At 47.3% G+C, this 23,859-nt stretch overlaps 1 protein-coding gene and 1 pseudogene across 1 annotated transcript, besides 4 other annotated features; both read left to right on the top strand.

The window, feature by feature from the left end:
- Positions 1-22,242, top strand: GFRA3 (GDNF family receptor alpha 3). Its single transcript, NM_001496.4, has 8 exons — positions 1-288; positions 10,074-10,361; positions 14,973-15,065; positions 16,671-16,983; positions 20,462-20,565; positions 20,722-20,856; positions 21,247-21,335; positions 21,565-22,242. Exons 1-8 carry the CDS (start codon positions 198-200, stop codon positions 21,652-21,654), a joined length of 1,203 nt encoding a protein of 400 aa, NP_001487.2. The 5' UTR covers positions 1-197; the 3' UTR covers positions 21,655-22,242.
- Positions 89-278: a silencer, noted in NCBI's record as "silent region_16387". NCBI's record gives its function as "represses an Ori minimal core promoter by ATAC-STARR-seq in GM12878 lymphoblastoid cells {active_cell/tissue: GM12878}" and the evidence as "EXISTENCE:reporter gene assay evidence [ECO:0000049][PMID:35858748]".
- On the top strand, positions 6,865-7,623 carry RPS27AP18 (RPS27A pseudogene 18; annotated as a pseudogene).
- Positions 10,936-11,136: a silencer, noted in NCBI's record as "peak5492 fragment used in MPRA reporter construct". NCBI's record gives its function as "represses an SCP1 promoter by STARR-seq MPRAs in K562 erythroleukemia cells {active_cell/tissue: K562}" and the evidence as "EXISTENCE:reporter gene assay evidence [ECO:0000049][PMID:32103011]".
- Positions 13,196-13,396: a silencer, noted in NCBI's record as "peak5491 fragment used in MPRA reporter construct". NCBI's record gives its function as "represses an SCP1 promoter by STARR-seq MPRAs in K562 erythroleukemia cells {active_cell/tissue: K562}" and the evidence as "EXISTENCE:reporter gene assay evidence [ECO:0000049][PMID:32103011]".
- Positions 21,510-21,569: an enhancer, noted in NCBI's record as "active region_23196". NCBI's record gives its function as "activates an Ori minimal core promoter by ATAC-STARR-seq in GM12878 lymphoblastoid cells {active_cell/tissue: GM12878}" and the evidence as "EXISTENCE:reporter gene assay evidence [ECO:0000049][PMID:35858748]".

Raw genomic sequence — 23,859 nt, 5'->3', positions numbered from 1 at the left:
GGACCAGCGCTGGAGGCGCGTGGTGTGGACGCGCGCTTCGGAGTTGGAGGGCGGCGCCCAGGACCCTGGTGGGAGAGTGTGTGCGTCGCGCTGGAGGGCGGGAGGCGGGGGCGGGAGGTGCCGGTCGAGGGAGCCCCGCTCTCAGAGCTCCAGGGGAGGAGCGAGGGGAGCGCGGAGCCCGGCGCCTACAGCTCGCCATGGTGCGCCCCCTGAACCCGCGACCGCTGCCGCCCGTAGTCCTGATGTTGCTGCTGCTGCTGCCGCCGTCGCCGCTGCCTCTCGCAGCCGGTGAGTGTCAGAGCGCGCACCGGCCGGGGGTACAGTGGGAGGGGGAGGTGAGGTGTAGGCGAGGCCCGGGGCACCTGTCCGGAGAGGGCGCAGCAGCCTCCCGGTGCATCCGAGCCGAACAAGGGGAACTGGAGCAGGAAGCCCAGGGTGCCTGCAAGGGGCTGGGGTCACACCTAACACAGTGTACGAACTGAGATAGACTGAGTGCCAGCAATGGCCTGGCCACCCAAGCATCTCCTCCTCGCCCCTTTTTCCCCCCTCTTCCCTCTTTTGAGGTAGGTCTACACAGTCACAGAACAACCCACAGCCAGGTCACTACCAAGACAGCGTCTCTAAGAGGCGGGGAGAATCAGATCAGAAACAGAGTGTCATTTGCTCCACGTGGGCTTTAACTCTTCCATCTGCTTTAAGGACTGAGGAAGAAACTAGGTACAGGTGAAGAAAAAGAAGTTCGTTAAAACTGACTTGTTTCATAACCTTCTACAATAGCAGGCCTTGCAAGCCGTCTAGCACAGTGGCTTGCCCCTTGGATAATAAATAATCCACAATAGATGTTTTGTAGATGTAGTTCAAGGCCTGGTTTTAGAACCAGGCCACTCCCCCAAGGAAGAACAGCCTGGGATCCGAGATCCCTGGAAGGCCCATGGCCTTCGTGAGTGGTATGGGTGTGTGGAATCTTATTATGCGGCTCCTGCCCAGAGACTGAATGGAGGGACTCCTGAGACAGAGAGACCACCACACTGCCCTGAGACCTCAGTCCACAACGCAGTGCTGTAGAAATGCTGCCTTGAGACAGATATGGAAGGAAGGAGGAAAAACCCTGGTCTGTCCACCTGCCAACATCAGTAAGTCAGGGCAGCAAGACATCACCAGTCTGATTTGACTGCCCAGGAAATTTCACTAATCCTAAAGGTTATGGCTGCATGTCAGGATCAGGGGAAAACATTAAACACCTTTCTCATTAAATGGTTTAATGAAGCAGTGTTGGTGACAGATCTATTTTCCACAGTAATACTTGACAGCAATGACATCTGGTTAAGTAGCCTCATTGAAAATCCATAAAACAGTCATCTAGGAGGTACCATGTAGAGCCAAGTGCTCTTCAAGAGCACAGACCAACAGAGGGCTTTGGGGGTGGAAAATATCATTGCTCAGGGCCTGCTAAAGCCAAGCATATAGGAGACCTCCGATTCATGGGGAAGTGGTGTCATGTACTGAAAATCATTCTGAAGTGGATAGGAGGCTGGAGTCCTGGGTTCTAGCCTTGACTCGGTCTTGACTTGCTACATCCCCTGGTGCACATTACTTTTCTTTGTTCATCCAACTATAAAATGGATACCTGGGTTGTGGGCCTCACTGATGAGAAACAAATGAGGATCTTGTGCCCTGAGGCATAGCCTGATCTGACCCATTCTGTAGCTACTCATTCTCTGATGAGCCAAGAAGCAGAAAACAAAGTTACAAAACCAGGTTGCTAACAAATCAATATGAAATAGACGTGGCAGTGGCTGTATAAATGAGGAGGTGGGGCAAGTAATAGAAAGTGGTATGGACTATAACAAGCTGGAAAAGGCATGACTTGTCAAAAGGGGGCAGTCATTACTCCACCCGTTACATGTGGGCCCGAGTGTTTCCATTTTTCAAGACAAATTGGAAATTAATAGTTTTATTTGAAATCTGATTTTTTTTTTGAGACAGGGTATCAATCTGTCACCCAGGCTGGAGTTCAGTGGTGTGATTCCAGTTCACTGCAGCCTCAACCTCCCATACTCAAGTAATCCTTCTGCCTCAGCCTCCCCAGTAGCTGGGACTGTAGTAGTGTGCCACCACACCTGGTTAATTTTTGTATTTTTTGTAGAGACGGGTTTTTGCCATCTCGGATGCCCAGGCTGATCTTGAATCCTGGGCTCAAACAGTCTGCCCACCTTGGCCTCCCAAAGTGCTGCAATTAAAGGTGTGCGCCACCGCACCCGGCCTAAAATCTGATTTTTAAATGTTGGCCACTAATTACAACTTTAAGAAAATACTGGCTGGGTGCAGTGGCTCACACCTGTAATCCCAGCACTTTGGGAGGCTGAGACGGGTAGATCACGAGGTCAGGAGATTGAGACCATCCTGGCTAACACAGTGAATCCCCGTCGCTACTAAAAAATAGAAAAAATTAGCCAGGCATGCTGGTGGGCGCCTGTAGTCCCAACTACCCGGGAGGCTGAGGCAGGAGAATGGCGTGAACCTGGGAGGTGGAGCTTGCAGTGAGCTGAGATCGCGCCACTGCACTCCAGCCTGGGTGACAGAGCGAGACTCCGTCTCAAAAAAAAAAAAAAGAAAAAGAAAATACTGTGAACGTGCAAAAAAAACCAACCAAACAAACAAATAAAACAACCAAACCACACACACACACACACACACACACACACACAAAAAAAAAAAAAAAAAAAAAACAGAAAAGAAAATACTGCCGGGAATGGTGGCTCACGCCTATAATCCCAGCATTTTGGGAGGCCAAGGTGGGTGGATTGCTTGAGCTCAAGAGTTCGAGACCAGCCCGGGCAACATGGTGAAAACCCATCTCTACAAAAAATACAAAATTAGCTGGGCGTGGTAGTGCATGCATGCAGTCCCAGCTACTTGGGAGGCTGAGGTGGGAGAATTCACCTGAGCCTGGGAGGTCGAGACTGTAGGCTGCAGTGAGTGGCGATTGTACCACTGCACTCCAGTCTGGGTGACAGAGATTAAAAGAAAGAAAAGAAAAGGAGAAAGGAGAAAGAAAAAGAAAGGAACGGAACTATGCTGACTAAAAAAGACACATTTGCACACTGGATCAAATTATGACCTTTGCCCTGGATCAAGTCCTGTGTTTCACAATCCAGGAAACACAGGTTCCACCTTGTTGAGATGAAATTTAACGTGGCCCCCAAGTTCTTTGTTGAGATGAATGCCCCTAAATCCATCACTGCTCAAACTTGGTAAAGTGTCAACTAAGAAATTGTTTTCTTTTGAAAATGTTTACAACTCAATAGTTAGTACAGTTAAATATTTATGGCCGGGCACAGTGGCTCATGCCTGTAATCCCAGCACTTTGTTGAGGCCGAGGCGGGCAGATCACCTGAGGTCGGGAGTTCAAGATCAGCCTGACCAACATCGAGAAATCGCATCTCTACTAAAAATACAAAATTAGCCAGGCATGGTGGGGCATACCTGTAATCCCAGCTAGTTGGGAGGCTGAGGCAGGAGAATCGCTTGAACCCGGGAGGCAGAGGTTGCAGTGAGCCGAGATCGCGCCACTGCACTCCAGCCTGGGTAACAAGAGCAAAACTCCACCTCAAAAAAAAAAAATTATTTTTAGTCCAGTTACAACAATAGAACTTGAATCTGCCACTTTTCTTTGTGTACTTACCACTTATTCAGTACCTACCGGAAGTAACATCGTAAACTTGTAGAAATTCCTCAATCTTTTTAAATCCATGTTCCCCTTTTGGTAAATATATAAAATCTCATACCTTCCTTAAATACTTTTTGAAATCTCAAAAGCTTTTTTTTTCATCTTGTACATGTAAAATTATCAAATATGCTTTTTGGAAATACATATTTCCTAGAGAAATTCTGATATACTTTTTCTTTTCCATAGGTTATTGGGGTACATACAGGTGGTGTTTGGTTACATAAGTAAGTTCTTTAGTGCTGATTTATGAGATTTTGGTGTACCCATCACCCAAGAAGTATATACTGCACCCTATTTGTAGTCTTTTATCCCTTCCCCTCCCCCACGCTTCCCCCCAAGTCCCCAAGTCCATTGTATCATTCTTATGCCTTTGTATCCTCATAGCTTAGCTCCCACATATCAGTGAGAATATACGATGTTTGGTTTTCCATTCCTGAGTTACTTCACTTAGAATAATAGTCTCCAATCTCATCTAGGTTGCTGCAAATGCTGTTAATTCATTCCTTTTTTTTTTTTTTTTGAGACGGAGTCTGGCTCTGTCGCCCGGGCTGGAGTGCAGTGGCGTGATCTCGGCTCACTGCAAGCTCCGCCTCCCGGGTTCGCGCCATTCTCCTGCCTCAGCCTCCGAGTAGCTGTACAGGTGCCTGCCAGCACACCTGGCTAACTTTTTTTTTTTTTTTTTTTTTGTATTTTTAGTGGAGACGGGGTTTCACTGTTTTAGCCAGGATGGTCTTGATCTCCTGACCTTGTGATCCGACTGTCTCAGCCTCTCAAAGTGCTGGGATTACCGGCGTGAGCCACCATGCCTGGCCAATTCATTCCTTTTTATGGCTGAGTAGTATTCTATTCTATCACAATTTCTGTTCCATTCGTTGATTGATGGGCATTTGGGTTGGTTCCATGATTCTGCAATTGCAAATTGTGCTGCTATAAACATGAGTGTGCAAGTATCTTTTTGGTATAATGACTTCTTTTCCTCTGGGTAGACACTCAGTAGTGGGACTGCTGGATCAAATGGTAGTTCTACTTTTTTTTTTTTTTTTTTTTGAGATGGAGTCTTGCTGTGTCACCACCAGGCTGGAGTGCAATGGCATGATCTCGGCTCACTGCAACCTCCGCCTCCCAGGTTCAAGCGATTCTCCTGCCTCAGCCTCCTCAGTAGCTGGGACTATAGGCACACGCCACCACGCCCAGCTAATTTTTTGTATTTGTAGTGGAGATGGGGTTTCACCATGTTGGCCAGGATGGTCTCAATCTCTTGACCTCATGATCTGCCTACCTCGGCTTCCCAAAGTGCTGGGATTACAGGTTTGAGCCACTGCGTCTGGCTTGTTGTTTTTTGTTTTTTTTTTTTTCAGACAGAGTTTCGCTCTTGTGCCCCAGGCTTCAGTGCAATGGCTTGATCTCGGCTCACTGAAACCTCCGCCTCCTGGGTTCAAGTGATTCTCCAGCCTCAGCCTCTCGAGTAGCTGGGATAACAGGTGCCCGCCTCCACACCTGGCTAATTTTTGTATTTTTAGTAGAGACGGGCTTTTGCAGTGTTGGCCAGGCTGGTCTTGAACTCCTGACCTCAGGTGATCTGCCCACCTCAGCCTCCCAAAGTGCTGGGATTACGGGGTGAGCCACCACGCCCAGACTACTTTTAGCTCTTTAAGGAATCTCCAGACTGTTTTCCTCAGTGGCTGTACTAGTTTACATTCCCACCAGCAGTGTAGAAGTGTTCCCTGATCACCGCATCCATGCCAACATCTACTGTTTTTTGATTTTTTGATTATGGCCATTCTTGAAGTAGTAAGTTGGTATCACATTGTGGTTTTGATTTGCATTTTACTGATCATGAGTGATGTTGAGCAATTTTTCATATGTTGGCTATTTGTGTATCTTCTTTTGAGAATTGTCTATTCATGTCCTTAGCCCACTTTTTGATGGGATTGTTTGTTTTTTTCTTTTTCTTTTTTTTTTTTTTTGAGATGGAGTCTTGCTCTGTCACCCAGGCTGGAGTGCAGTGGCATGATCTTGGCTCACTGCAAGCTCCGCCTCCCAGGTTCACACCATTCTCCTGCCTCAGCCTCCCGAGTAGCTGGGACTACAGGAGCTCACCACCATCCTGAGTAGCTGGGACTACAGGCGCTCGCCTCCACACCTGGCTAATTTTCTGTATTTTTAATAGAGATGGGGTTTCATCGTGTTAGTCAGGATGGTCTCAATCTCCTGACCTTGTGATCTGCCCACCTCGGCCTCCCAAAGTGCTGCAATTACGGGCATGAGCCACTGCGCCCAGCCAACTGTTTGTTTTTTTCTTGCTGATTTGTTTGAATTTGTTGTAGATTCTGAATATTAGTCCTTTGTCAGATGTATAGATAGTGAAAATTTTCTCCCACTCTGTGGGTTGTCTGTTTACTCTGCTGACTGTTCCTTTTGCTGTGCAAAAGCTCTTTAGTTTAATTAAGTACCAGCTATTTATCTTTTTTTTTTTTTTTTTGCATTTGCTTTTGGGTTTTGGTCATGAAATCTTTGCGTAAGTCAAGGTCTAGAAGGATTTTTCCAATGTTATCTTCTATAATTTTTATAGTTTCAGTTCTTAGATTTCTTTTTTTTTTTTTTTTTCAGATGGAGTCTCACCCTGCTGCCCAGGCTGGAGTGCAGTGGCACAGTCTCTGCTCACTGCATACTCTGCCTCCTGGGTTCAAGCGATTCTCCTGCCTCAGCCTCCTGAGTAGCTGGGATTACAGGCGCCCGCCATCACACCCAGCTAATTTTTGTATTTTCAGTAGAGACAGGGTTTCACCATGCTGATCAGGCTAGTCTCGAACTCCTGACCTCAGGTAATCCACCCGCCTTGGCCTCCCAAAGTGCTGAGATTACAGGCGTGGTGGCCAGATTTAAGTTCTTAATCCATCTTGAGTTGATTTTTGTATAAGGTGAGAGATGAGGACCCAGTTTCATTCTCCTACATGTGGGTAGCCAATTATCCCAGCACCGTTTGTTGAAAAGGCTGTTCTTTCCCCACTTTATGTTTTCGTTTGCTTTGTTGCCAAGATCAGTTGGCTGTACTGGGGCAAAACTAATCCCTGATGTTAGAGACAAAGATACTGCCTTTTCGATCCACCATCTGCAGTGGAGCCACCACCAAAATGCAGATTTTCATAACAACCTTTATGGAGAAAGCCATCAGTCTTGAGGTTGAACCCTTGGATACAAGGAAATGTAAAAGCCAACATCCAAGATAAGGAAGGAATTCCTTCTGACGAGTAAAGACTGATCTTTGCTGGCAAGCAACTGGAAGACGGATGTGCTTTGTCTGACTACAACATTCAAAAGGAGTCCACCCTTCTTGTGTTGAGACTTCGTGGTGGCCCTAAGAAAAGGAAGAAGTCTTAAACTACTCCCAAAAAGAATAGGCCAGGCACTGTAGCTCATGCCTGTAATCCCAGCACTTTGGGAGGCCAAGGCAGATGGATCGCATGAGGCCAGGAGTTCGAGACCAGCCTGGCCAACATGGTGAAACTACCTCTCTACTAAAATTACAAAACCCAGCTCGGTGTGGTGGCGCATGCCTGTAATCCCAGCTACTTGGGTGGCTGAGGCAGGTCAATCACTTGAACCCAGGAGGCGGAGATTGCAGAGAGCTGAGGTCATGCCACTGCACTCCAACCTGGGCAACAGAGCAAGACCTGGTCTCAAAAAAAAAAAAAAAAAAAAAGCATAAAAGAAAAAAGGTGAAGCTGGCTGTCCTAAAATACCATAAGGTGGATGAGAATAGCAAAAATAGTCACCTTCGTCAGGAGTACCCTTCAGATGAATGTGGTGCTGAAGTGTTTATGGCCAGCCACTCTGACAGACATTATTTTGGCAAACGTCTGACCTATTGCTTCAACAAACCAGAAGACAAGTAAAAGAAATGAAGACAGGCTGGGCGCAGTGGCTCACACTTGTAATCCTAGCACTTTGGAAGGCCAAGGTGGGTGGATCACTTGAGGTTAGGAGTTCAAGACCAGCCTGGGCAACATGGTGAAACCCTTTCTCTACTAAAAGTACAAAAATTAGCTGAGCATTGTGGCGGGTGCCTGTAGTCCCAGCTACTCGGGAGGCTGAGGCAGGAGAATCGCTTGAGCCCAGGAGGCAGAGGTTGCAAGGTTGCAGTGAGCTGAGATTGTATCACTGCACTCCAGCCTGACTCTGACTCAAAAAAAAAGAAAAGAAAAGAAAAGAAAAGAAAGAAAGAAAAAGAAATGAAGATACTGGTTTACTTGGGAGCACAGTGACTGGAAGAGGGCTTCAGGGTTACTGATAATGTTCTATTCCTTTATCTGGATTCTGGCTACACAAGTGTATTCAATTTGTGAAATTCATTGAGCTATACATTTTTGATTCATGTACTTTTCTGTGTTACACCTCAACAAAAACTTTATTTCCAAGGAAGATGTACAAATGGCTAACAAGCACATAAAAATATGCTCAACATCCTTAGTCATTAGGGAAATGCAAATGAAAGCCTCAATGAGATACCACTTCATGCTCACAAGGATGGTTATAATTTTTTTTAATGGAAAATAACAGGAGTTGGCAGTATGTATAGAAACTAGACTCCTTGTACATTGCTGATGGGAATGTAAAATGGTACAGCTGCTGTGAAAAACAATTTGGCGGTTCCTCAAAAAGTTAAACATAGAATTACCGTATGACCCAGCAATTCCATCCCTAGGTATGTATCCCAAAGAACAAAAAACAGGTGTTCAAACAAATACTTGTACATGAAATGTTCATCAAAGCGCTATTCACAATAACCAAAAGGTGGAAGCAACCCAAGTGTCCATTAACTGAAGAATGCATAAACAAAATGTAGCATATCGATATAATGAAATATTAGTCATCCATAAAGAACAATGAGGTACTGGCTGGGTGTGGTGGCTCATGCCTGTAATCCCAGCACTTCGGGAGGCCAAGGCAGGCAGATCATCTGAGGTCAGAAGTTCAAGACTAGTCTGGCCAACGTGATGAAAACCCATCTCTACTAAAAATACAAAAATTAACCAGATGTGGTGGCATGTGCCTGTAGTCCCAACTACTCAGGAGGCTGAGGTAGGTAGGATAGCTTGAACCCAGGAGGTCAAGGCTGCAGTGAGCTGTGATCGTGCCACTGCACTCCAGCCTGGGAGATAGAGCAAGACCCTATCTAAAAAAGAAAAAGGAGAAGAAGGAGAAGGAGAAGAGAAGGAGAAGGAAGAAAGAAGAGGGAAGAAGGAGAAGAGTTGATGGTGGCTTGATCTAAGGAGGTAGTGACACACATGGAGAAAAGTGGGCAGATTCCAGATGTGTTATGGAGTTGACAGGACTTGCTGAATTGAACACAGGCTGTGAAAGAAAGAGATGAATTAAGGCGCGGTGGCTCACGCCTGTAATCCCAGCACTTTGGGAGGCTAAGGTGGGCGGATTACCCGAGGTCAGGAGTTTGAGACCAGCCTGACCAATATGGAGAAACCCCGTCTCTACTAAAAATATAAAATTAGCTGGGCGTGTGATGGCGCACGCCTGTAATCCCAGCTACACGGGAGGCTGAGGCAGGAGAATCGCTTGAACCCGGGAGGCGGAGGTTGCGTTGAGCCAAGATCACGCCATTGCACTCCAACCTGGGTAACAAGAGCGAAACTCTGTCTCAAAAAAAAAAAAAAAAAAAAAAAAAAAGTTCTCCTAGATTTTTATCTTTGAACAGCTAGTGAGATGATGATGTTCTATTACCCCATGTTGAGCACCCTAAATCCTAGGATGCAGGGGCTTCCTTCCGGGCTGTGGAGGAATCTTGGTATTTCTGAGTAAGAGACAGGGTCAGGTTACCCTTTCTTTCCTTTTGGAATTAGCTCTCTACCCCAACCCCAGCCAGTTTCCACCTTCAGGTATTTTTAAATGATTTTTAATGGGAGACTCAAAGTTATTGCTGACTCCCATTTAGCACTCCCTTGTCCATTCTCAACTCTCTGGTTCTGATACTAGCCCTGCCCATGGCATGGCTCTGCCTGGGGACCCCTTCCTCTGTGCCTGTCAGGGTCATCAGGCTCGCCTTCAAACAACTATTCCCTTCACCTCCCTGAAGGCTGAGCAGCCTCTCTGCAAACCCCTATTTCTTGTTGGGCCTGGTCTGTTCTGTCCCGACTGTGGCAGCTGCAGACTATCCAGTCCTGCTGGGCTTCTCTCTCTCTCCACACTTATTCTTAAAGGCCTTTTGTGCTACCCTAAGACTTTCACAAAGTTTCATCAGGAATATCCCTCTCCCAACCTCATGACTTGGTATTCCCAGACAGCTATTCTAATCTTACGTAGCCTCACCTGGTATCTCCCTTTACAGGAGACCCCCTTCCCACAGAAAGCCGACTCATGAACAGCTGTCTCCAGGCCAGGAGGAAGTGCCAGGCTGATCCCACCTGCAGTGCTGCCTACCACCACCTGGATTCCTGCACCTCTAGCATAAGCACCCCACTGCCCTCAGAGGAGCCTTCGGTCCCTGCTGACTGCCTGGAGGCAGCACAGCAACTCAGGAACAGCTCTCTGATAGGCTGCATGTGCCACCGGCGCATGAAGAACCAGGTTGCCTGCTTGGACATCTATTGGACCGTTCACCGTGCCCGCAGCCTTGGTGAGGCTCCCATTATAGAGTGGACTAAGCTGGGGAAGATGGCTCTTGGGGGTTGTTTTTTAATCCTGCAGGATATGGGCCACATGGTAGAATCTGAGGAGGAGGATAATGAAGCTCTGCATTTGACATCAGGAAAGGTGGAGGGATAGTGCTGGGATCTCCTTGGGGCCCCATAACACTGCCCTCTCTTCTCCCTACTTCCCCCTTTCTTACCTGGCAACATGTCAGTTCCCACTTAGCAGAGCTGTGAACCAGGCTGAGGCCCAACCTGGGGAGTTCCTGGAACAGCGGGTATGGACAGGAGATGGGAGAAAAAAGTCTTAACCCATAAACAGGCTCCAAATACCAAGTTCAGAGAGATGGGGAGGTAACATCTTGGTCCAGCCTTTAACAGAAAGAATACTCATTAACCAGCCAGGAGATGTAAGAGAGAGAAGGCACAGAAAGAGCCAAAGAGGAGCTGCTTGTCACTCTTTCCATAGGCCCCTTATTAGTCAGCTTTTACCGGACTATGTTGCTGTAACAAAACAGTGACTTGCAAAACAAAGGTTTAATTCTTGCTCATGTTCTGTATTGGCTCTTTCATGGGCCTTCTTCATTCTGGGATCCAGGCTCAAGGTGCAGCCTCTGTCTGGGATGTTCCCTTCTCGTGGCAGAAGGAAATGAGCATTGGCAGAACCACATGATGATTTTTAAAGTTTCTGCTCAAATCTTATATACACTACGTCTGCTTACATTTCATTGAGAGAGCAAGTCACATGGCTAAGCCTGACATCACTGGATTGAGAATTATACTTCTTCCACAGGGAGATACCAAAAATCACATGGCAATAAGTGAGGATATACAATCTTACAGGGAAGGCAAAGAATGATTGGAAACAATAATACAATCTACCATTGTCAAAGTATTCATTTCTCTCCCTTCTGCAAGTAAAATATACCCACCTATTTTCCATGGAAGATGCCCTAAAAGCTCTGTTCAAACCTGACATCAAGCCGGGTGTGGTGGCTCACACCTGTAATCCTAGCACTTTGGGAGGCCAAGGCAGGCGGATCACTTGAGTTCAGGAGTTCAAGACCAGCCTGGCCAACATGGTGAAACCTCATCTCTACTAAAAATACAAAAAATTAGCTGGGCATGGTGGTGGGCACCTGTAATCCCAGGCTACTTGGGAAGCTGAGGCAGGAGAATCACTTGAACCCGGGAAGCAGAGGTTGCAGTGAGTCGAGATTGCGCCACTGCACTCTAGCCTGGGCGACAGAGCGAGACTCTGTCTCGAAAAAAACAAGCAAAAAGCAAACAAACAAACAAACAAACATGACATCAGGCTTCAAGTCTAGGATCTCATGATAGTTTCCAAATTGGGTCTGGATGTGGCTCCTCTTAATCTAAAAACTTATGAACTAAAAAGACAAGTCATCTGCTTCCTATACGTACTCAGCATATAATAACGGAACAGGGTCAGGATAACCACAACAAACATTCTCAGAAAGGGGAGGAATGGGCATCTAAGTGTGGTGGCTCACACCTGTAACTTCAGCAACTTGGGAGGCCAAGGCGGGAGTATCCCTAAAGCCCAGGAGTTCAAGACCAGCCTGGACAACATAGCGAGCTCCCATCACTACAAAAAAATAAATAAATTAGCTGAGTGTGGTGGTGCACACCTGTGGTCCCAGCTACTCGGGAGGCTGAGGTGGGAGGATCACTTGAGTCCAGGAGGTTGAGGCTGCAGTGAGCCATGATCACACCACTGCACTCCAGCCTGGGTGACAGAGCAAGACCCTGTCTCAAATAAATAAATGAATGAATGAATGGGAGACACACAGCAGACATTGATTCATAGCAATTCTGAAATCCTGCTAGACAAATGTTGTAAGGGTCCTCTTCCCTGGGAATAGGGATTGTTCTTTAATAAGGCCCTGTTTTTACTCCACGGGAGTAGTTGCCCTATCCATTGTTTTCCAGAGCTCTTGGCCCAGCCCTCTGGAAAGGTCCTTCCTCTTTCAGTTTTCTCTTTGGCCACATTTGAAAAGGGTATTAGGGACTACATTCTCCCTGAGGACTGAGCCGCATTCTCAGCCTGCTTCCTGCCTGAGAAATGTTGGGGCATTTTAAGTCTCAAATAGTCACAGTCTCTTTTAATCTACACTGGTAGCTCTTTGTAGTACAACTCTCTGAAAACATAATTGCTGCTTATATCTTTGATTTCTATCATCTCATGTGCCTGTGGCCTTTCCCACAATTCAAGACATGCCTCTTTTTCTACACCTAATTAGAAGCACCTAGCCCTTATCAGGCTTCTGTGGAAGAGCCACTACTTTAGTCTTTTTTCCCTGAGTACATTTGTCCAACTGGCAGGACTTATTGGGTACCATCTTAATCGACTGAGAGATATCCACAAACAGTGTGATAGCCACATACCTCATTTGGTCTTTTCCCCAAGGCTGAGTTGTAATCAACCTTATCACTCAAAGCATTTTTTTTTATGTTTTATCTTTTACCTTATGAATACAAGAAACAGTGGCATTTCTTCTTCTTCTTCTTTTTTTTTTTTTTTTTTTTTTTTGAGACAGAGTCTTCCTCTGTTGCCCTGGCTGGAGTGCAGTGGCGTGATATTGGCTCACTGCAACCTCTGCCTCCCGGGTTCAAGCGATTCTCCTGCCTCAGCCTCCTGAGTAGCTGGGATTACAGGCCCCTGCCACCATGCCTGGCTAATTTTTGTATTTTTAGTAGAGAGGGGGTTTCACCATGTTGGTCAGGCTGGTCTTGAACTCCTGACCTCGTGATCTGCCTGCCTCGGCCTCCCAAAATGCCGGGATTACAGGCATGAGCCACTGCGCCCAGCACAGTTGCATTTCTTAATCCTGGAAGTCCTGAAATTTCTAGATTATCTTTTCCTCCACATTTGGGAACTGGCCAATTCTTTTCTGAGCTTATATCTTGTAGTACCTTGCCAAATGCAGCCAATAGCAATCAAGACATACTAGTAAACTTCTGCTTCTCAGCTTCCCCTAACAGTACAAACTCATTCAGCATATAATCTTCCCAGTTATCACACACAACAATTTTACCAGATGCTTTGCCACTGCATAATGAAGACTGCCATCTTTCCAGCCCCCAGTAACAGCTTCCTTACCACCCATTGCCCAGTACCAAAGCCAATGACACACATTATATTATTTTATTACTGTAGCGCTCCACTTCTAGGTACCAATTGCATTTTATTTTTGCTGTTTTTTTTAGTTGGAGTCTCACTTGTCACCCAGGCTGGAGTGCAGTGGCACAGTCATAGCTCACTGCAGCCTCAACCTCCTGGGCTCAAGTGATCCTCCCACCTCAGCCTCTCGAGTAGCTGGGACTATATGTGTGTGCCACCGGACCCAGCTAAATTTTTTGTAGAGATGAAGTCCTGCTGTGTTCTCCAGGCTGGTCTCAAGTTCCTAGGTTCAAGGAATATTCCTGCCTCAGCCTCCCAGTTGCATTTTTTTTTTTTCAGATGGAGACTCACTGTCGCCCAGGCTGGAGTGCAGTGGCATGATCTTGGCTCACTGCAGCCTCCGCCTCCCGGGTTCAAGTGATTCTCCCACCTCAGCCTCCCAGGTAGCTGGGATTACAGGCATGCGCCACCATGCCCAACTAATTTTTGTATTTTTAGTAGAGATGGGGTTTCACCATGTTGGCCAGGCTGGTCTCGAACTCCTGACCTCAGGTGATCTACCCGCCTAGGCCTCCCAAAGTGCTAGGATTACAGGTGTGAGCCACCGTGCCCGGCACCCCATTGCATTTTTAGTAAGAATTTGCTAGGTTATGCTATTGCAACAACCAATTCCCAAATCTCTGGCTTTCAACAACAAAAATGTATTTCTTGCTCATGTTACACATCTGCTGGAGGCTTCTATGAGTTGGCCTTGTCTCTGTTCTACTTGTCTTCTTCACTGGAAGATCCAGGCTGGTAGAGGAGAAAGAGTAGCAGCAGAACCATGTGAAGATTCTTAAAGCTTCTGCTCAGATGTGATTTACATCACTTCAGCTCACAATCCACAGACCAGAGCAAGTCACCTGGCCAAGCCTGCCATCAGTGGGGTGAGGAAGTGTACGCCTCTCACAGGGGGTGTGAAAGTTACATGGCAACAGGTGGGGACGTATAATCCTCCCAAGGGGTGGGGAACAAATAATTGGAAACAATAATACAGTTTACCACACTCCTTGCTCCCTGTTTTCTACTCCTCATCCTAATCACTTCTCTTTCCGAACTTCCTCAGAGGCTTCTCCCTGAATCCTCTTGCCTCCCTACACTGTGTGCTGAGCACCATCGCGTAAGTGCGATGGTGCTCAGCATATTTATTTACCTCACTTATAGCATGGTGCTCAGCACACAGTGTGCTTAACAAATGGTAGCTCTTATTATTCTTATGGCTTATTGGTGGAGCCCAGCCTATACCTTACGGCCCTGCATTTTTCTCATCTTTGCACAGCTTGCAGCTGGTTAGGTAGAGGCTGTGCTTTTCCTTTTCTCCACAGGCCTTTGAGGTCTGAGCCAGCAGCTTCAGCCCCTCCAGCCTACCCCACCCTGGTCCTCAGCATTCTGGTGCTCCCCACCTTGTCTCTAGGTAACTATGAGCTGGATGTCTCCCCCTATGAAGACACAGTGACCAGCAAACCCTGGAAAATGAATCTCAGCAAACTGAACATGCTCAAACCAGGTGTGGAGGGCAACTAGGCTCGGGAACCAGAGGCTGGGGCTGGACCCTGGAGGAAGGGTGGCTGGGGAGGGGCAGAAGTTGGGGAGCTTATAAGGGAAATGTTTCTAGCCTACCAGGTGACTAAGGAAGACTGTGTCAGGCTGGAAGTGTGAGCTCTGGGGCATGATCTGGTCTCACAGGGGTCTCCAAAGGACAGCAGTTATTAGGGAGGCATTTGAAGAGAGCCCATTAGGGCTCCCTGTTTCCACAAGGCGAGCCCCTGCAAAGGGCGTGGTGGGAGTGGCAGCAGCCCCAGGAAAAATTGTGCTGAAATGCAGTATTTACTTGCATTCAAGGCAGCTGGGAAAGTAGCCTTTTTGTCCCTGAAGACTAGGAAATTGCTTGTTTTCAACCATTCTAATGGGATGGGCGAGGTATTGGGCAGGAAAAGAGAGTGTGACTCTGCACGGGGTGACTCAGGGTGGGGAGCCATCAGTCTGGCAAGGACTGTGTTGCATGTTTTTCAGGAAAGTGAGGCTATGAGTTAATTGAGGAAAAACATACACACATGCACTCTCTTTTTGAGAAAGATGTGAGCTTTATCATTAGAATTAGAATTTTGAGAAAAAGGCATAGAGTTTCATGCATGAAAAACTCTAAGTGACAAGATCAGCAAATAACCTGTTGCAATTACTTGATTGCTGTGGCTGCTGGAATATTCTGTTAATAGAAATATCACCATAATTTCCCAAGATTCAGAGTATGGGGAACAGAGTATACATGAATCAATTAATGAAAGATGGGCAGGTGACATTAAAATGGAACAGGATAGGTGCAGACGAAGCCAAAACCAAACCAGAAACCTAAAATAGAATTTGGATGCATCTGTTTTGGACAGTTCTGAAAGTGCTTTAGAATGTTGCAGGTACTCTAGGTTATCATTTCTACCATCAGATCTCACAGCATAGCACTGAGGAAAGAGGTATGGTTATTTAAGCTTTCTGGCTGCTTGAATTCTAGATAAATGGGTGTTCGATGCATATAGATGATGATAGTGATTATTCTTATTATTTTACGTAGTCAAGATGAGGAGTTGTGCCGGGCGCGGCGGTTCATGCCTGTAATCCCAGCACTTTGGGAGGCCGAGATGGGCGGATTACCTGAGGTCGGGAGTTCAAGACCAGCCTGGCTAACATGATGAAACCCCATTTCTACTAAAAATACAAAAAATTAGCCGGGCGTCGTGGCGCATGCGTGTAATCCCAGCTACTCGGGAGGCTGAGGCAGGAGAATTGCTTGAACCCAGGAGGCGGAGGTTGCAGTGAGCCGAGATCACGCCATTGCACTTCGGCTTGGCCAACAAGAGCAAAACTCCGTCTCAAAAAAAAAAAAAAAAAAAAAAAAAAAAAAAGAGGAGTAGGGTGGGGAAGGCTTCAAAACAGCAGGTAGAGTTTGTGGGGAGAGGGGAAGCCCTGGATTAGGAGTGGGTTTATTCATGACAGGCCTTCTTTTCCTCCTATATCCACTACCTTCTTGTCAAATCAGGGGTTTCCGGGGTTCCTGTGGAACCTGGGGTGCAGGCGTGCAGAGGGCCCAGCCGACTGACTCCGTGCCCTTTCCCCCCAGACTCAGACCTCTGCCTCAAGTTTGCCATGCTGTGTACTCTCAATGACAAGTGTGACCGGCTGCGCAAGGCCTACGGGGAGGCGTGCTCCGGGCCCCACTGCCAGCGCCACGTCTGCCTCAGGCAGCTGCTCACTTTCTTCGAGAAGGCCGCCGAGCCCCACGCGCAGGGCCTGCTACTGTGCCCATGTGCCCCCAACGACCGGGGCTGCGGGGAGCGCCGGCGCAACACCATCGCCCCCAACTGCGCGCTGCCGCCTGTGGCCCCCAACTGCCTGGAGCTGCGGCGCCTCTGCTTCTCCGACCCGCTTTGCAGGTGTGTAGTTTGGGAGGACAGGGTGGGCAGGGATGAGGCACACGCCACTCCTTCCTGGCCACGTTCCTGTGCTGAGCAGGGTCTGACCCTCCCAGGGAACCGTGGACCCACTGGCTGCTTCACGAAGTAGCTACCTTGGATATTTTGTGAAAGTCTTTTCTCAAAAAGAATATATGTCTTTTTTTTCTTTGCTGTAAAACCTCAGGAAATATAAAAATGTATTTTAAAAAATCATTAAAAATTCTATCACCTGAAGATAATCTATCATACTTTGGGAAGCATTTCCTTCCAGTCATTTTCTATCCAGATAACAAAAGTAGACATTCTGAGAATGTATTTGTGTCTTACTTTTTTTCTCTTACGGCACATGTCTCATGAGCATTTTTCTGTGGAGGTGGTGTGGAGTAGTGGTAAGACAGGATCTGAAGTCAGACGGGTTTGAATTTAAACCCTGGGTCTCTGCGATCTTGAGCACAGCACTTAACCTAAAAACTCCATCACTAAACCTAAGGTTCCGTTTAGTCCCCTGTAAAAACTGGGATAATAATGCAGACCTCATGGGATTCTGGTGAGAGTTAAATTACATAATTTATGTAGAGTGGTGTAGAGTACCGGTGAAGAGTAAGTGCTCAATAAATGGTAGTGCTTATTTTTTTACTTACTGTCCTTTAAGAACTTTTTTTTTTTTTTTTGAGACAGAGTCCCCTTCTGTCACCCAGGCTGGAGTGCAGTGACACGATCTTGGCTCACTGCAACCACTGTCTGCCAGGTTCAAGCGATTCTTCTGCCTCAGTCTCTCGAGTAGCTAGGACTACAGGCTTGTGCCACCATGCCCAGCTAATTTCTTTATTTTTGGTAGAGATGGGGTTTCACTATGTTGGCCAGGCTGGTCTCGAACTCCTGACCCTGTGATCCACCTGCTTTGGCCTCCCAAAGTGCTAGGATTACAGGTGTGAGCCACCACACCCAGCCAAGAACTTGATTTTTAAATGCCTGCATTATATTCCATGTATGGATGCCCTACACTTAATTTAACCATTCCTCTATTGCTAGATATTTAGGTTTTTGTTTTGTTTTTTTTTTTGTTTGTTTTTTTTTGTTTGTTTTTTTTGAGATGGAGTCTCTCTCTGTCATCCAGGCTGGAGTGCAGTGGCGCAGTCTCGGCTCACTGCAACCTCTGCCTCCCAGGTTCAAGTGATTCTCCTGCCTCAGCCTCCCAAGTAGCTGGGACTACAGGCATGTGCCACCAGGCCCGGCTAAATTTTTGTATTTTTAGTAGAGACGGGGTTTCACCGTGTTAGCCAGGATGATCTCCATCTCCTAACCTCGTGATCCGCCCGCCTCAGCCTCCCAAAGTGCTAGGATAACAGGCATAAGCCACCGTGCCCAGCGATTTTTTTTTTTTTTTAAGACGGAGTCTTGTTTTGTCACCCAGGCTGGAGTGCAGTGGTGCGATCTCGGCTCACTGCAGCCTCCGCCTCCTGGTTTCAAGGGATACTCCCCCCTCAGCCTCCCAAGTAGCTGGGATTACAGGCGCCTGCCACCACGCCCAGCTAATTTTTTTTGTATTTTCAGTAGAGATGGGATTTCGCTGTGTTGGCCAGGCTAGTCTCGAACTCCTGGCCTCAGTTGATCTGCCCACCTTGGCCTCCTAAAGTACTGGTATTACAGGTGTGAGCCACCGTGCCCAGCCAGATTGGTTTTTTTCTTCTTCTTCTTCTTCTTTTTTTTTTTTTTTTGAGACAGAGTCTTGCTCTGTTACCCAGGCTGGAGGGCAGTGTTGTGATCTCGGCTTACTGCAACCTCTATCTCCTGGGTTCAAGCGATTCTCCAGCCTCAGCCTCCTGAGTATGTTGGGACTATAAGTGCACACCACAGTGCCCAGCTAATTTTTGTATTTTTAGTAGAGATGGGGTTTTGCCATGTTGGCCAGGCCAGTGTTGAACTCCTGAGCTCAAGTGATCAGCCCACTTCAGCCTCCCAAAGTGCTGGGATTATAGGCATGAACCACCATGCTTGCCCAACTCTTACTCTTTAATCTTTGTGCACTAATGTAGTTATTACTTAGGATGTGCTGCTACTAGTACCATTGCCAGATCAAAGGACATGGGAGATTGGTAAGGTATTTGATAGATTTGATAAATATTCTCTTCAGGAAATTTGAAATTCTGATCTGGCTTTCCTGTGTCTTCTCAGGACAAAACACTTACAAAATTGAAGCTATCATTCATTCAAGTGACATTTGTTGACAATAACCTTGGTTTGCAACTTGGTTCTCCTACTTAGTTCTTTGTAACCTTCGGCAAGTTACTTAACTTCTGAGACTACCACTTTCCTCATCTGTAAACTATCTTATAGTCAGGGCTCTTAATAATCATAATACTAACATTTACTGAATAACTAAATACTTACTAGGGCTAGATACTGTTTTAAGTACTTAACATATATTAACTCATCTAAACCTCACAAGAACCCCAATAAGGTAAATCGATCCTTCTTTCCTTCCTTCCTTCCCTCCCTCCTTCCTTCCTTCTTTCCTTCCTCTCTCTTTCTCTTCTTCTCTCCTTACTTCTTTCCTTTCTTCCTTCCTCTCTTTTTCTCCTTCCTTCCTTCCTCTCTCTCTCCTTCCTTCCTTCTCTTCTCTTCTCTCTTTTCTCCTTCTCTTCTCTCTGTCTCTCTTTCTCTTTCTTTTTTTTTCTTTCTTTCGTTCTGAGACAGGGTCTTGCTGTGTTGCTCAGGGTAGTCTCCAACCCCTGAGCTCAACTGATTCTCCCACCTCAGCCTCCCAAGTAGCTGGGATTACAGGCGTGAGCCGCTATGCCTGGCTTATGCATTCTCTTACTTCATCCTCACAAAAATCCACGAGGTAGTGCTGCTGTCATCTCTATTTTATAGTTGAGGAAACTGAGGTTAAAGAAGCTATCTGAGATCTCATAAGTAGGGATCGTGGAGCCCAAACTCAGAGTGAAATGCTATGGGTTCCAAGGAATGGTACATTTAACTGTTACAGGGGCACACTTCACAGAGGAAAGGCTCTGGGCCAGGCTCTGAAGGCAGAGGAGGATTTGGCACGACAATGGGCATGCCAAGCTAAGGGGGAATGAGGGAGAAGGCTGCAGGCTGGACCCTCAAGAGTGACTTGAAATTTTTCTGGCCGAGTGCAGTGGCTCATACCTGTAATCCCAGCACTTTGAGAGGCCAAGGCAGGTGGATCACCTGAGGTCAGGAGTTTGAGACCAGCCTGGCCGACATGGTGAAACCCCGTCTCTACTAAAAATACAGAATTAGCCAGGTGTGGTGGCACGTGACTGTAGTCCCAGCTACTCGGGAGGCTGAGGCAGGAGAATTGTTTGAACCTGGGAGGCAGAGGTTGCAGTGAGCCAAGATTGAGCTACTGCACTCCAGCCTGGGCAAGAGAGAGTGAGACATCATCTCAAAAAAAAAAAAAAAAGAAAGACAGAAATTTCCCTTCTTCCAGATCACGCCTGGTGGATTTCCAGACCCACTGCCATCCCATGGACATCCTAGGAACTTGTGCAACAGAGCAGTCCAGATGTCTACGAGCATACCTGGGGCTGATTGGTGAGGCTGGGGGCATGTGTAGGGAACCCTATGTTGGCTAGGCCTGAGGGTAAGAATGCTCCGGAGATAAAGGATGTGATCCTGACATGGGTGGAAGAAGGTGGGAGCTAAAGTTAGGGTTAGCCTAGGCCTTGACTACCCTTTCCCTCTTCACAGGGACTGCCATGACCCCCAACTTTGTCAGCAATGTCAACACCAGTGTTGCCTTAAGCTGCACCTGCCGAGGCAGTGGCAACCTGCAGGAGGAGTGTGAAATGCTGGAAGGGTTCTTCTCCCACAACCCCTGCCTCAGTGAGTGTGCTGTACTTGCTCCCAGCCCCTGGGGCTGAGTCAGCTGGACTCAAGGGAAGGAAAAGGGTCGACTCTGTGGCCCAGGCTGGTTCCATCCATCTCCACCAAACAGAGCAGTTCCTAGCATAGGCTTTCATTGCCATAGCCCAGGCCTTTCTTCTGTCTCCCACTCCCTGAGAAACCTCCCACGCTGCCTGTTCAACCTGTCTGGAACCCAGGGACATCTCCAGCTCAAGAAACAAGCAGAATGAGAGAGTATCCCACTTCCACCTCCCACCCACTTGCTCCCCTATAGCCCAGGGTCCCTGTGGCATTCCCTTTCCTTCCTTGGGAGCCTGAGAAATCTCCTGCCCCCATACCCTTCCAATGAGCCTTCTCTCCTCTCTTCAGCGGAGGCCATTGCAGCTAAGATGCGTTTTCACAGCCAACTCTTCTCCCAGGACTGGCCACACCCTACCTTTGCTGTGATGGCACACCAGGTAGGGCCTCCTCTGTTACACCCCTCAGACCTTTACTGGGCCGGCTGGGGAAAACCCAAACTAGGCAGACAAAGGGATAGAGGCGAGGGGCTGACCTCCTCATTGCCCTGAATACTAGAGACCTCTAATGGATACCTCAGGGGAAGGGGAATACCTCTTGACTGAGGCTGAGGTAGTGAAAGGGCTAAAGAAAATCCCCTGAGCTAACTCCATTCCATTTCTTCCACAGAATGAAAACCCTGCTGTGAGGCCACAGCCCTGGGTGCCCTCTCTTTTCTCCTGCACGCTTCCCTTGATTCTGCTCCTGAGCCTATGGTAGCTGGACTTCCCCAGGGCCCTCTTCCCCTCCACCACACCCAGGTGGACTTGCAGCCCACAAGGGGTGAGGAAAGGACAGCAGCAGGAAGGAGGTGCAGTGCGCAGATGAGGGCACAGGAGAAGCTAAGGGTTATGACCTCCAGATCCTTACTGGTCCAGTCCTCATTCCCTCCACCCCATCTCCACTTCTGATTCATGCTGCCCCTCCTTGGTGGCCACAATTTAGCCATGTCATCTGGTGGTGACCAGCTCCACCAAGCCCCTTTCTGAGCCCTTCCTCTTGACTACCAGGATCACCAGAATCTAATAAGTTAGCCATTCTCTATTGCATTCCAGATTAGGGTTAGGGTAGGGAGGACTGGGTGTTCTGAGGCAGCCTAGAAAGTCATTCTCCTTTGTGAAGAAGGCTCCTGCCCCCTCGTCTCCTCCTCTGAGTGGAGGATGGAAAACTACTGCCTGCACTGCCCTGTCCCCGGATCCTGCCGAACATCTGGGCATCAGGAGCTGGAGCCTGTGGGCCTTGCTTTATTCCTATTATTGTCCTAAAGTCTCTCTGGGCTCTTGGATCATGATTAAACCTTTGACTTAAGACTTTGCTCTTTTTCCATTTTCTCAAATTTTGAGTATCTGTAGAACTAGGGTGTTATAGATGAAAGAACACAGGCCAGGTGATGAGACACAGCAACCCTACCACCATGTGCTATATGACTTCAGGTATGTCTCCTAGCCTCTCTGTGTTCTTGACTTGGAGTTGGAAGAAAAAATAGCTTATGTGAGGCTGTGGACCCGGGATCTGTCCCAGCTCCAGCCATTTCTCGGATACTGCCTGGGATCTGCCACAGCAGCTGAGATGGGGATCCTTAGTCAACCACACCATTTATTGAACACCTGCTTGGGTTATTGGCCTGCTCCAGATCATAATGGGAGCCAGAGGAAAAGAGAGAGTGGTTCTTTTTTTTTTTTTTTTTTGACTCGGAGTCTCTATCTGTCGCCCAGTCTGGAGTGCAATGGCACAATCTGCAACCTCTGCCTCCCAGGTTCAAGCGATTCTGCTGCCCCAGCCTCCCAAGCAGCTGGGACTACAGGCATGTGTCACCATGCCCAGCAAATTTTTGTATTTTTATTAGAGACGGGTTTCACCATATTGGCCAGGCTGGTCTTGAACTCCTGACTTCAGGTGATCTGCCCACCTCAGCCTGCCAAAGTGCTGGGATTACAGGTGTGAGCCACCATGCCTGGCCCAGAGATTGTTCTTGATCTCAGGGAATTTGTAATCCTATTGGGATAAGGACACACCCACCCATGCAAAGTATAATAGTTGGAAGAATGTATTTATAGAGCTCTGGACATCTGTCTATTAATTGATTCACTCACTCTTTCAATAAGCATCTGATGAATGCTGACTCTGCACGACACTGTTTTGTGTGCAAGAGATTCTGGCATAAAAGGACTCAGATCCTATGTTCAAACTTTTTACACACCAGAGCAGGGAAGCAGACAACAGTCCATAAGAGCAGTGCAGTATGACGAGTGATATATAATAATTACGATAATCCTTTTTTTTTTTTTTTTTTTTTGAGACAGAGTCTTGCTCTGTCACCCAGGCTGGAGTGCAGTGGCATGATCTTGGCTCACTGCAACCTCTGTCTCCCAGGTTCAAGAGATTCTCCTGCCTCAGCCTCCCAAGCAACTGGGATTACAGGCTCACGCCACCATGCCAGGCTAATTTTTTGTATTTTTAGTAGAGACGCAGTTTCATCATGTTGGCCAGGCTGGTTTGAACTCCTGACCTCAGGTGATCCACCTGCCTCAGCCTCCCAAAGTGCTGGGATTACAGGCATGAGCCACCGTGCCTGGCCCTAATTATGATGATCCTCGTTTATGGAGCCCATACTGTGTGCCAAGTACTACTGTGCATTAACCGTGTGCAAATACATGCATTCATTCATTTAATCCTCCAGCAACATTTGAGTTTGTTAATCACAAGCTATTAATATGTGACCTTGGGCTTAACCTCACTGGGCCTTACTATCCATATCTGTAACATGGAAAACCATGGCACCCACCTCATGAGGAATGAGATAATCCATGTAAAAGCATTGTGGCTGACACACAGTAAAAACTCACAAAAGTTAACAATTGTGTGTTTTTCTAGAGAATTTGGACATTACAGACAATTCTAAAGAAGAAAGAAAAATCTTTAAGC

Source organism: Homo sapiens, chromosome 5, assembly GCF_000001405.40.
Source record: "Homo sapiens chromosome 5, GRCh38.p14 Primary Assembly".
NCBI classification, from domain to species: Eukaryota; Metazoa; Chordata; class Mammalia; order Primates; family Hominidae; genus Homo; species Homo sapiens.
The sequence above is the reverse complement of the archived record's forward strand: the minus strand, read 5'-3'. Positions and strand labels throughout refer to the sequence as shown.